Here is a 13,347-nt window from a genome sequence, read left to right on the forward strand (position 1 = left end):
AAAATACTAAGAATATTGTCATATTCTGTCATAATACTAAGAATATTGTCATATTCTTAGCAGTATTATTCACAATAGCCAAAATGTAGAAATAACCCAAATGCCCATTAACTGATAAGTGGATAAATAAAAGTAGTATGTCCATATAATGGAATATTATTCAGCCATAACAAGAGTTAAAATTCAGCTGGGTGCAGTGTCTCATGTCTGTAATCCTGGAAGGCTGAGGCAGGTAGATCACTTGAGCCCAGGAGTTCGAGACCAGCCTGGGCAACATGGCGAAACCCTGTCTCTACAAAAATATACAAAAATTAGCCAGGCCTGGTGGTGCATATCTGTAGTCCCAGCTACTCGGGAAGCTGATGTGGAAGGATTGCTTGAACCTGGGAGGCAGAGGCTGCAGTGAGTCAGAAGCTGCAGTGAGTCAGAAGCTGCAGTGAGCTGAGATTGCACTGAGAGGTGACAACGTGCTGGCAGCCCTTGCTCACTCTTGGCACCTCCTTGGCCTCGGCGTCCGCTCTGGCCACGCTTGAGGAGCCCATCAGCCCACCGCTGCACTGTGAGGGCCCCCCTTGGAGTCTGGCCAAAGCCAGAGCTGGCTCCCTCTGCTCCTGGGGAGATTTCAGGGAGAGGCGTGGGTGGGAGCCAGGGCTGCAGGCGCAGGTTCTGGGTGGGCATGGGCTTGGCGGGCCCTGCACTCCTAGTGGCCGGCACCTACTGGGCTTCATCTGGGACGAGCTCCCTCTGGGCTGCCGGAATGCCTGGGCTAGGTGCCGCAAAGTCCCATGGGAAGTGCCACTGAGAGGTGAACCCGGCTGGGCTTCTGGGTTGGGTGGGGACCTGGAGAACTTTTCTGTCTAGCTAAAGGTTTGTAAAAACACACCAATCAGCACTGTGTCTAGCTAAAGGTTTGTAAATGCACCACTCAGCACTCTGCGTCTAGCTAATTGGGTAGGGGACTTGGAGAACTTTTGTGTCTAGCTAAAGGTTTGTAAATGCAGCAATCAGCCTTCTGTCAAAACGGACCAATCAGCTCTCTGTAAAACAGACCAATCAGCTCTCTGTAAAATGGACCAGTCAGCTCTCTGTAAAATGAACCAATCAGTAGGATGTGGGTGGGACCAGATAAGGGAATAAAAAGCAGGCTACCCAAGCCAGCAGCGGCAAGCCGCTTGGGTCCCCTTCCATGTTGTGGAAGCTTTGTTCTTTCACTCTTCACAATAAATCTTGCTGCTGCTCACTCTTTGGCTCTGCACCACCTTTATGAGCTATAACACTCACCACGAAGGTCTGCAGCTTCACTCCTGAGGCCAGCAAGACCACAAACTCACCGGAAGGAACAAACAACCCCAAACGCACCGCCTTTAAGAGCTGTAACACTCACCGCAAAGGTCTGCAGCTTAATTCCTGAAGTCAGCGAGACCACGAACCCACCAGAAGGAAGAAACTCTGGACACATCTGAACATATGAAGGAACAAACTCTGGACACACCATCTTTAAGAACTGTAACACTCACTGCGAGGGTCCACGGCTTCATTCTTGAAGTCAGCGAGACCAAGAACCCAGTAATTCCGGACACATTTTGGTGACCACGAAGGGACTATCGCCTATCACCAAGCAGTAAGACTATCACCAAGCAGTGAGACCACTGCCTATCGCCAAGCGGTGAGTACTATTGAACCCCTTTCACTTGCTATTCTGTCCTATTATTCCTTAGAATTTGGGGGCTAAATAACGGGCACCTGTTGGCTAGTTAATAGCGACTAGCGCGGCTGCCGGACTAAAGACACGGGTGTCAGGCTTTCTGGGAAAGGGCTCTCTAACAACCCCTGACTCTTCGGAGTTGGGAGCATTGGTTTGCCTGGAACCAGCTTCCACTTTTCCTGTACTTCTGGGCTGAGCTGAGGGTTGACAGAGAGGAAAGCCATTCAGCTCTGGGGTCCCAACAGCAAGCTGGTTGACCCTGTAGCCATGAGCGGAACTCTCAAGTCATGTCACCCAAGCGAGACTCGCCCATCTATTCTATCTACCCTGACCCTTGCCTCCTGGGTCCTAATGCCTGCTAGACAAACTTCCTCTTGCCTCTCTTCTCCGAAGCTAGTCCCGCTTCTAAAAGTCACTCCCTGTCTCTGGTGCTTTTCTAGTTTCTCTTATAAGAATGATTTCTAGTATAAACTCCAGGACTCTGTTACCTTCTTTCAGCACCTGGGGTCACCAATCAGAAAGACATAATTTTTGCCCAAAGCCCCATCATGGGGGGACTACCTGGAATTTTAGGATCCCTCCTCAGACTAGCAGGCCTAACAAAAGCTATTCCTGAAGCTAGGATATGGGAAGCCTCAGAAATTGTATCCTTCCTATTCATATAAGTGAGGACAAAAGGTGTCACTCTTCCAACTCTGGAGATCCCTTCCCTCCCTCAGGGTATGGGCCTCCACTTCATTTTTGGGGCATGACATCTCTATAGGACATGGGTAAGGTCCCAATACTAACATGAGAATGCTTAGGACTCTAAAAAGTTTTGAAGAATGCATCAGTCAGGGCCATTAAATCCGATTTTTCTCAGTCCTCCTTGTGGTCTAGGAGGACAGGCAAGGGTACAGGTTTTTGAGAATGCATCAGTAAGGGCCACTAAATCCGACCTTTCTCAGTCCTCCTTGTGGTCTGGGAGGAAAACTAGTGTTTCTGCTGCTGCGTTGGTGAGCACAACTATTCTGATCAGCAGGGTCCAGGGACTGTTGTGGGTTCTTGGGCAGGGGTTGTTTTTGCTGCTGCATTGGTGAGCGCAACTATTCCAGTCAGCAGGGTCCAAAGACCATTGCGGGTTCTTGGGCAGGGGGAGAAACAGAACAGAACAGAACAAAACAAAACAAAACAAAACAAAACCATGGGCAGTTTTGTCTTTCAGATGAGAAACACTCAGGTATCAACAGGCTCACCCTTGAAATGCATCCTAAATCATTGGGACCAATTTGACCCACAAACCCTGAAAAAGAGGTGGCTAATTTTTTCTGCACTATGGCCTGGCCCCAATATTCTCTCTCTGATGGGGAAAAATGGCCACCTGAGGGAAGTATAAATTACAATACTATCCTGCAGCTTGACCTTTTCTCTAAAAGGGAAGGCAAATGGAGTGAAATGCCTATGTCCAAGCTTTCTTTTCACTGAAGGAGAATACACAACTATGCAAAGCCTGCAATTTACATCCCACAGGAGGACCTCTCAGCTTACCCCCATATCCTAGCCTCCCTATAGCTCCCCTTCCCATTAATGATAATCCTCCTCTAATCTCCCCTACCAAGAAGGAAATAAGCAAAGAAATCTCCAAAGGACCACAAAAACCCCTAGGCTATTGGTTATGTCCCCTTCAAGCTGTAGGGGGAGGGGAATTTGGCCCAACCTAGGTACATGTCCCCTTCTCCCTCTATGATTTAAAGCAGATCAAGGCAGACCTTGGGAAGTTTTCAGAAGATCCTGATAGGTACATAGATGTCCTACAGGGTCTAGGGCAAACCTTCAACCTTGCTTGGAGAGATGTCATGCTACTATTAGATCAAACCCTGGCCTTTAATGAAAAGAATGTGGCTTTAGCTGCAGCCCGAGAGTTTGGAGATACCTGGTATCTTAGTCAAGTAAATGATAGAATGATAGCCAAAGAGAGGGATAAATTCCCTACCGGTCAGCAAGCCGTCCCCCGTATGTATTCCCACTGGGGCCTTGACTCAGATCATGGGGACTGGAGTCATAAACATCTGTTGACCTGTGTTCTAGAAGGACTAAGGAGAATTAGGAAAAAGGCCCATGAATTATTCAATGATGTCCACCATAACTCAGGGAAAGGAAGAAAATCCTTCTGCCTTCCTCGAGCAGCTACGGGAGGCCTTAAGGAAATATACTCCCTGTCACTTGAATCACTCGAGGGTCAATTGATTCTAAAAGATAAGTTTATTACCCAATCAGCCACAGATATGAGGAGAAAGCTCCAAAAGCAAGCCCTGGGCCCTGAGCAAAATTTGGAGGCATTATTAAACCTGGCAACCTCAGTGTTCTATAATAGGGACAAAGAGGAACAGGCCCAAAAGGAAAAGCAAGATCAGGGAAAGGCCACAGCCTTAGTCATGGCCCTCAGACAGACAAACCTTGGTAGTTCAGAGAGGACAGAAAATGGAGCAGGCCAATCACCCTGTAGGGCCTGTTACCAGTGTGGTTTGCAAGGACACTTTGAAAAAGATTGTCCAATGAGAAACAAGCTGCCCCCTCGTCCATGTCCACTATGCCCAGGCAATCGCTGGAAGGTGCACTGCCCCAGAGGACAAAGATTCTCTGAGTCAGAAGCCCCCAACCAAATGATCCAACAACAGGACTGAGGGTGCCTGGGGCAAGCGCCAGCTCATGTCATCAACCTCATTGAGCCCTGGGTATGTTTAACCATTGAGGGTCAGGAAATTGACTTCCTCCCGGATACTGGTGCGACCTTCTCAGTGTTAATCTCCTGTCCTGGACGACTGTCCTCAAGGTCCATTACCATCCAAGGAATCCTGGGACAGCCTGTAACCAGGTATTTCTTCCACCTCCTCAGTTGTAATTGGGAGACTTTGCTCTTTTCACATGACTTTCTTGTTATGCCTGAAAGTCCCACACCCTTATTAGGGAGGGATATATTAGCCAAGGCTGGAGCTATTATCTACATGAATATGGGGAAGAAGTTACCCATTTGTTGTCCCCTACTTGAGGAGGGAATCAACCCTGAAGTCTGGGCATTGGAAGGACAATTTGGAAAGGCAAAAAATGCCCACCCAGTCCAAATCAGGCTAAAAGACCCCACCACTTTCCTTATCAAAGGCAATATCCCTTAAGGCCTGAAGTTCATAAAGGATTACAGGATATTGTTAAACATTTAAAAGCTCAAGGCTTAGTAAGGAAATGCAGCAGTCCCTGCAACACCCCAATTCTAGGAGCACAAAAACTGAACGGTCAGTGGAGACTAATGCAAGATCTTAGACTCATCAATGAGGCAGTAATTCCTCTATATCCAGTTGTACCCAACCCCTATACATTGCTCTCTCAAATACCAGAGGAAGCAGAATGGTTCACTGTTTTGGACCTCAAGGATGCCTTCTTCTGTATTCCCCTGCACTCTGACTCCCAGTTTCTCTTTGCCTTTGAGGATCCCACAGACCACACGTCCAACTTACGTGGATGGTCTTGCCCCAACGGTTTAGGGATAGCCCTCACCTGTTTGGTCAGGCCCTGGCCCAAGATCTTGGTCACTTCTCAAGTCCAGGCACTCTGGTCCTTCAGTATGTGGATGACTTACTTTTGGCTACCAGTTCGGAAGCCTTGTGCCAGCAGGCTACTGTAGATCTCTTGAACTTTTTAGCTGATCAAGGGTACAAGGTGTCTAGGTCAAAGGCCAAGCTTTGCCTACATCAGATCAAATATCTAGGCCTAATCTTTGCCAAAGGGACCAGGGCCCTCAGCAAGGAACGAATACAGCCTATACTGGCTTATCCTCACCCTAAGACATTAAAACAGTTGCGGGGGTTCCTTGGAATCACTGGCTTTTGCCGACTATGGATCCCCAGATACAGCAAGATAGCCAGGCCCCTCTATCCTCTAATCAAGGAGACCCAGAGAGCAAATACTCATCTAGTAGAATGGGAACCAGAGGCAGAAACAGCCTTCAAAACCTTAAAGCAGGCCCTAATACATGCTCCAGGTTTAAGCTTTCCCACAGGACAAAACTTCTCTTTATACATCACAGAGAGAGCAGGGATAGCTCTTGGAGTCCTTACTCAGACTCGTGGGACAACCTCACAACCAATGGCATACCTAAGTAAGGAAACTGATGTAGTAGCAAAAGGCTGGCCTCACTGTTTACAGACAGTTGCGGCAGTGGCGGTCTTAGTGTCGAGGCTATCAAAATAATACAAGGAAAGGATCTCACTGTCTGGACTACTCATGATGTAAATGGCACACTAGGTGCCAAAAGAAGTTTATGGCTATCAGACATCACTTACTTAGATATCAGGCGCTACTCCTTGAGGGACTGGTGCTTCAAATATGTACATGCATGGCCCTCAACCCTGCCACTTTTCTCCCAGAGGATGGGGAACCAATCGAGCATGACTGCCAACAAATTACAGTCGAGACTTATGCCACCCGAGATGATCTCTGAGACATCCCCTTAGCTAATCCTGACCTTAACCTATATACCGATGGAAGTTCATTTGTGGAGAATGGGATATGAAGGGAAGGTTATGCCATAGTTAGTGATGTAACTGTACTTGAAAGTAAGCCTCTTCCCCCAGGGACCAGCACCGAGTTAGCAGAACTAGTGGCACTTACCCGAGCCTTAGAACTGGGAAAGGGAAAAAGAAAAAATGTGTATACAGATAGCAAGTATGCTTATCTAATCCTACATGCCCATGCTGCAATATGGAAAGAAAGGGAGTTCCTAACCTCTGGGGGAACCCCTGTTAAATACCACAAGGAAATTATGGAGTTATTGCACACAGTGCAAAAACCCAAGGAGGTGGCAGTCTTACACTGCTGAAGCCATCAAAAAGGGGAAGGAGAGGGGAGAACAGTAGCATAAGCAGCTAGCAGAGACAGGGAAAGACCAGCAGAAAGGAAAGAGAGAAAGAGATAGGAAGTCAGAGAAAAAGAAAGAGAGGAAGAAACAGACAAAAAGAAGGAGACAGAGAGGAAGAGACAGAGAGACAGAAACAGAGAGACAAAAGTCAAAGAAGGAGAAAGAGAGGAAGAGACAGACAAAGAGGGAGTCAGAAAGAGAGAGACAAAGGAGTCAAAGAGAAAGAGAGATGGAAGTAGTAAAGAAAAAACAGTGTACCCTATTCCTTTAAAAGCCAGGATAAATTTAAAACCTATAATTGATAATTGAAGGTCTTCTCCATGACCCTATAACACTCCAATACCACTTTGTTGTCAGCGCAAACAAGGGCATAGCCAAAAAGCACTGAGGCCACTGACAACCCGTAGCCTTCCTATCAAATATCCTTAACCCAGCAGGTTTCCTAACAGGGGATCTAAATTTGAAGGTCTGACCAGACCTAGTAGGAACTCCCTTCAGGAGAGGATGATAGATGGTTCCTCCTGAGCGATTATGGAAAAAGACACAATGGGCATTCAGTAAGTGATAAGGAAATTCTTATAGAAGCAGAGTTAGGAAAATTGCCTAATAATTGGTCTGCTCAAATGTGCGAGTTGTTTGCACTCAGCCAAATCTTAAAGTACTTACAGAATCAGGAGGGAGACATCTATACCAATTCTAAGTTAATATGGACTGAACAAGGTTTTATTAATAGCAAAGAAAAATTAAAATCCCAAACTTACAAGGTTTTCAACTAAAGTAAAGTTTGCTAAAAGTTAACAGTGTAACATGCATTATCTTACTGCCACACACTCTCAAAGAATTTCTCAGACAGTTTGCAGGAAGTGACGAAATCTATCCTTACTCTACAATCCCAAATAGACTCTTTAGCAGCAGTGACTCTCCAAAACCACTGAGGCCTAGACCTCCTCACTGCTGAGAAAGGAGAACTCTGCAGCTTCTTAGGGGAAGAGTGTTGTTTTTACACTAGCCAGTCAGGGATAGTATGAGATGCCATCCAGTGTTTACAGAAAAAGGCTTCTGAAATCAGACAATGCCTTTCAAACTCTTATAACAACCTCTGGAGTTGAGCAACATGGCTTCTCCCCTTTCTAGGTCCCGTGGCAGCCATCTTGCTGTTACTCACCTTTGGACTCTGTATTTTTAACCTACTTGTCAAATTTGTTTCCTCTAGAATCGAGGCCATCAAGCTACAGATGGTCTTACAAATGGAACCCCAAATGAGCTCAATTAACAGCTTCTACCAAGGACCCCTGGACTGACCTGCTGGGCCCTTCCACTAGCCTAAAGAGTTCCCTTCTGGAGGAGACTACAACTGCAGGGCCGCTTCTTCGCCCCTATCCAGCAGGAAGTAGCTACAGTGGTCATCAGCCAAATTCCCAACAGCAGTTGGGGTGTCCTGTTTAGAGGGGGGATTGAGAGGTGACAACGTGCTAGCAGCCCTTGCTCGCTCTCGGTGCCTCCTCGGCCTCAGCATCTGCTCTGGCCACGCTTGAGGAACCCTTCAACCTGCCGCTGTGCTGTGGGGGCCCCTCTCTGGGGCTGGCTGAGGCCGGAGCCAGCTCTCTCTGCTTGTGGGGAGGTGTGGAGGGAGAGGTGCGGGCAAGAGCCGGGGCTGCATGCAGCACTCGCAGGTGGCATGGGTTCCAGGTGGGCGCAGGCTCGGAGGGCCCCGCACTCTGCACGGCCGGCCGGCACTTGCTGGGCTTGATTGGGGTATGAGCTCCCTCTGGGCTGCCGGAGTGCCTGGGCTAGGTGCTGCAAAGTCCCGTGGCAAGTGCCATTGAGAGGTGAAGCCGGCTGGGCTTCTGGGTCGGGTGGGGACCTGGAGAATTTTTCTGTCAAGCTAAAGGTTTGTAAACACACTGATCAGTACTCTTTGTCTAGCTAAAGGTTTGTAAATGCACCAATCAGCATTCTGTGTCTAGCTAAAGGTTTGTAAATGCACCACTCAGTGCACTGTGTCTAGCTAATCGGGTAGGGGACTTGGAGAACTTTTGTGTCTAGCTAAAGGATTGTAAATGCACCAATCAGTGCTCTGTGTCTAGCTAAAGGTTTGTAAATGCACCAATCAGCACTCTGTCATAACGGACCAATCAGCTCTCTGTAAAACGGGCCAATCACCTCTCTGTAAAATGAACCAATCAGTAGGATGTGGGTGGGGCCAGATAAGGGAATAAAAGCAGGCCACCCGAGCCAGCAGTGGCAACCCGCTTGGGTGCCCTTCCATGCTATGGAAGCTTTGTTCTGTCGCTCTTTGCAATAAATCTTGCTGCTGCTCACTCTTTGGGTCCATGCCACCTTTATGAGCTGTAACACTCACTGTGAAGGTCTGCAGCTTCACTCCTGAAGCCAGTGAGACCATAAACCCACCAGGGGGGACGAACAACTCTGGATGGGAGGAACGAACAACTCTGGACCGCCACCTTTATGAACTGTAACACTCACCGCGAAGGTCTGCAGCTTCACTCCTGAAGTCAGCAAGACCACGAACCCACCAGAAGGAAAAAACTCCAGACACATCTGAACATCTGAAGGAACAAACTCCAGACACACCATCTTTAAGAACAGTAACACTCATGGCAAGGGTCCGTGGCTTCATTCTTGAAGTCAGTGAGACCAAGAACCCACCAATTCCGGACACAGCACCACTGCACTCCAGCCTGGGTGACAGAGCCAGATCCTGTCTCAAAAAAAAAAAAAAAAAAGAAAAGGATTAAAATTCAAAAATACCTAGATACCTAGGAATACAGCTAACCAGGGAGGTGAAAGATCTCTACAATGAGAATTACAAAACACTGCTCAACAAAATCAGAAATGACATGAACAAATGGAAAAATATTCCATGCTCATGGATAGTATAGCATGAAAATGGCTATACTATCCAAAGCAACTTACAGATTCAATGCTATTCCTATCAAACTACTAATGACATTCTTCACAGAATTAGAAAAAAAAACTATTTTAAAATTCATATGGAACCAAAAAAGAGCCCACGTAGCCAAGACAATCTTAAGCAAAAAGAACAAAGCCAGAGGCATCACACTACCCAACTTCAGACTATACTACAAGGCTACAGTAACCAAAACAGCATGGTACTAGTACAAAAACAGACACATAAACCAATGGAACAGAAGAGAGCCCAGAAATAATGCCATACACCTACAACAATTGACCTTTGACAAAGCTGACAAAACAAACAATAGTGAACAGACTTTCATTCAATAAATGGTGCTGGGATAACCGCCTAGTTATACGCAGAGGATTGAAACTGGACCCCTACCTTACACCACATAAAAAAATCAACTCAAGAGGAATTAAAGTCTTAAATGTAAAACCTAAAACTATAAAAACCCTGGAAGATAATTTAGGAAGTACCATTCTGGACATAGGACTTGGCAAAGATTTCACAACAAAAATGCCAAAAGCAATTGCAACAAAAACAAAAAATGACAAATGGGACCTATTAATAATTAAACTAGGCCAGGTGCGGTGGCTCATGCCTGTAATCCCAGCAATTTGGGAGGCCGAGGCAGGTGGATCACCTGATGTCAGGAATTCTAGATCAGCCTGGCCAACGTGGTGAAACCCCATCTCTACTAAAAATTAAAAAAAAAAACAAATTAGCTGGGCATGGTGGGCGCTTGTAATCCCAGCTACTTGGGAGGCTGAGGCAGAAGAATTGCTTGAACTCGGGAGGCGGAGGTTTTGATGAGCCGAGATCATGCCATTGCACTCCAGCCTGGGCAACAAGAGCGAAACTCTGTCTCAAAAATAAACTAACTAACTAAATAACTAACTAACGAACTAACTAACTAACTAAAGAGCTTCTGCACAACAAAAGAAACTATCAAAAGAGTAGACAGACAACCTATAGAATGGAAAAAAAACATTTGCAAACTATGCATCCAACAAAGGTCTAATACACAGAATCTATAAGGGACTTAAACAAATGTACAAGCAAAAAAAAACCAACCCCACTAAAAAGTCAGCAAAGGACATGAACAGACACTTTTTAAAGGAAGACATACATGTGGCCAACAAGTATATAAAGAAATGTTCCATGTCACTAATCATTAGAGAAATGCAAATCAAAACCACAATGAGAGACCATCTCACACCAGTCAGAATGGCTATCATTAAAAAGCAAAAAAAGCCAGACGCAGTGCTCATGCCTGTAATCCCAGCACTGTGGGAGGTCAAGGTGGGTGGATTGCTTGAGGTCAGGAGTTCGAGAACAGCCTGACCAACATGGTGAAACCCTGTCTCTGCTAAAAATACAAAAATTAGCTAGGCAAAGTGACACACACCTGTAATATCAGCTACTCAGCAGGCTGAGGCATGAGAATCGCTTGAACCCAGGAGGCAGAGGTTGCAGTGAGCTGCGATCACACTATTGCACTCCAGCCTGGGCAACAGAGGCAGACTCTGTCTCAAAAAAAAAAGAAAAAGGAAAAGAAAAGAAAAGAAAAAGAAAGTCTAAAAATAACAGATGCTGGCAAGGTTGCAGAGAAAAGGGAACACTTATACACTGCTGGTGGGAGTGTAAATTAGTTCAGACATTGTGGAAAGCAGTGTAGATTGCTTGAAAAATATAAAACAGAATTACCATTTGATGCAGCAATCCCATTATTAGGTATATACACAAAGGAATATGCATTGCTCTCCCATAAAGATACATGCACGTGCATTTCACTGCAGCACTATTCACAATAGCAAAGACATGGAATCAACCTACATGCCCATCAATGATAGACTGGATTTTTAAAATGTAGTACATATACACCATAGAATACTATGCAGCAATAAAAAAGAATGAGATCATGTCCTTTGCAGCAACATGGATACAGCTGGAGGTCATTATCCTAAGCTAAGTAACACAGGAACAGAAAGCCAAATACTGCAAGTTCTCATTTCTAAGTGGGAGCTAAACAACGAGCACACAGATACTAGAAGGGGAACAACAGACATTGGGGCCTTTTTGAGGGTGAAGGGTAAAAGGAGGGAAAGGATCAGAAGATATACCTATCGGGTAGCTATGTTTATTACCTGGGTGATTAAATTATCTGTACACCAAGCCCCTGTGAAACACAGTGTACCTATATAGCAAACCTGCACATATACCCCTGAACCTAAAGTTAAAACAAAGAACTGAAATTCTGAGAGACACAGGTAGCCCTGAAAACATTATGCTAAGTCAAATAAGCCTGAAACAAAAGGACAAAAATTCTGTTGTTCCACTTACATAAAGTACCTAGAGTAGTTAAATGCATAGAGACGAGAAATAGAATGGTGGTTGCCAGGGGCTGGCAGGAGGGGAGTAATGGGGAAGTTAATTGCTTAAAAGTTATAATTTCAGTTTGGGAAAATGAAAAAGTTCTGGAGATGCATGGTGGTGATGGTTGCATAACAATATGAATGTACTTAATGCCATTGAGCTGTACACTAAAAAATGGTTAACATGGTAAATTTTATGTTATATAAATTTTGCCATAATTAAAAAAAATCTTTTAAATTTTCCCCCAAAAAATTAGAATTCTTTTGGAAAAAACCTCAAAAACATTTCAAGAAATGGCAATGTTATTAGAATAAGTGTATAACTTTAGAAAACAACAACTTGTAAGAATAAAATGCTTATTTAGATATTTGACTTTTTGTAAGCTTATTAAAAATGAATGTGTCTGGAAATAAGGTAAATTTACAAAGGTAAATATGCTCTTTAACTAAAAACAACCCCAAAACCCTGAAGTACTGATACATGCTATAACATGGATGAAGTTTTAAAATTTATGCTGCATGAAAGACAGACACAACAGGCTATATAAATTTCATTTATATGAAACATCCGGAATAAGCAAATCCCCTATTAGTGGTTTCCAGGGTCTGGGTCATGGGAACAATATAGAATGACTGCTTATTGGGTAAAAGATTTCCTTTTGTGGTGATGCAAATGTTCTGGAACTAGATAGTGATGGTTGCACAACATTGCAAATGGACTAAAACCCACTGAATTGTACACTTAAAATGGGTTTTGTTGTGGTTGTTTTAGAGATAGGGTCTTGCTCTGTTGCCCAGACTGGAGTGCACTGCTGGGTCTGGCCCAGCGATGGATGAAAGGAGTACTCAGGTGTAGGTATCCAGTGAAAGAGCGGGCTAGGGGACCAGGCCGCTCACAGACCCCGAGGAGGGTGTCCTAAAGGGTTGTAGCAGCCGCAGCCCTGACAAGCCTGCGCTGCAGGCATTTATTCAGTACAGATTTAATAACAAAGGCCTTGAGTCAACACACTTTGTGGGTAATTAATATGGTCACCACCCCATCCCACCCCCACCCCGCCCCAAAAAGCAATCCTGCGGATTAAAGGCCAGGTCCCGAAGCAAACTAATTTACCTAGATTAATTTCTTTACATCCCCTTGTTATCTAACCTTTGCTCTCAGGCTCTGGATAAGATAATTTGCCTGCCTTCAGCCAAATCCTCTTTCGAAGCTTTTGCAAAACCTCCTGGCCTTCCAAGAAGGCTTGCATCTTTTCCTATAATTTCTCCCACCACCCTGACGAATCTCCCACAGTGCACCGTAACTTTTAACTCTGGGCTCTGAAGTAGCTGAGACTACATGCAAGGGCCGCCATACCTGGCTAGATTTCTACACTAAATTTTAAGTTATGTTAATTTTACCTCAATTAAAAATGAAAAAACAAGGCAGGGAATTCAC

The 13,347-nt window shown here is 45.1% G+C and overlaps 1 long non-coding RNA gene across 1 annotated transcript; it reads left to right on the forward strand.

The window, feature by feature from the left end:
- The first annotated feature begins 1,162 nt into the window (after positions 1-1,162).
- LOC124903137 (uncharacterized) lies at positions 1,163-8,917 on the forward strand. The gene is made up of 2 exons (XR_007063732.1): positions 1,163-1,666; positions 7,810-8,917. It is a non-coding gene; the product is annotated as an uncharacterized LOC124903137 (long non-coding RNA).
- Positions 8,918-13,347: the final 4,430 nt, after the last annotated feature.

Source organism: Homo sapiens, chromosome 13 (genome assembly GCF_000001405.40).
Source record: "Homo sapiens chromosome 13, GRCh38.p14 Primary Assembly".
In the NCBI taxonomy this organism is placed as follows: Eukaryota; Metazoa; Chordata; class Mammalia; order Primates; family Hominidae; genus Homo; species Homo sapiens.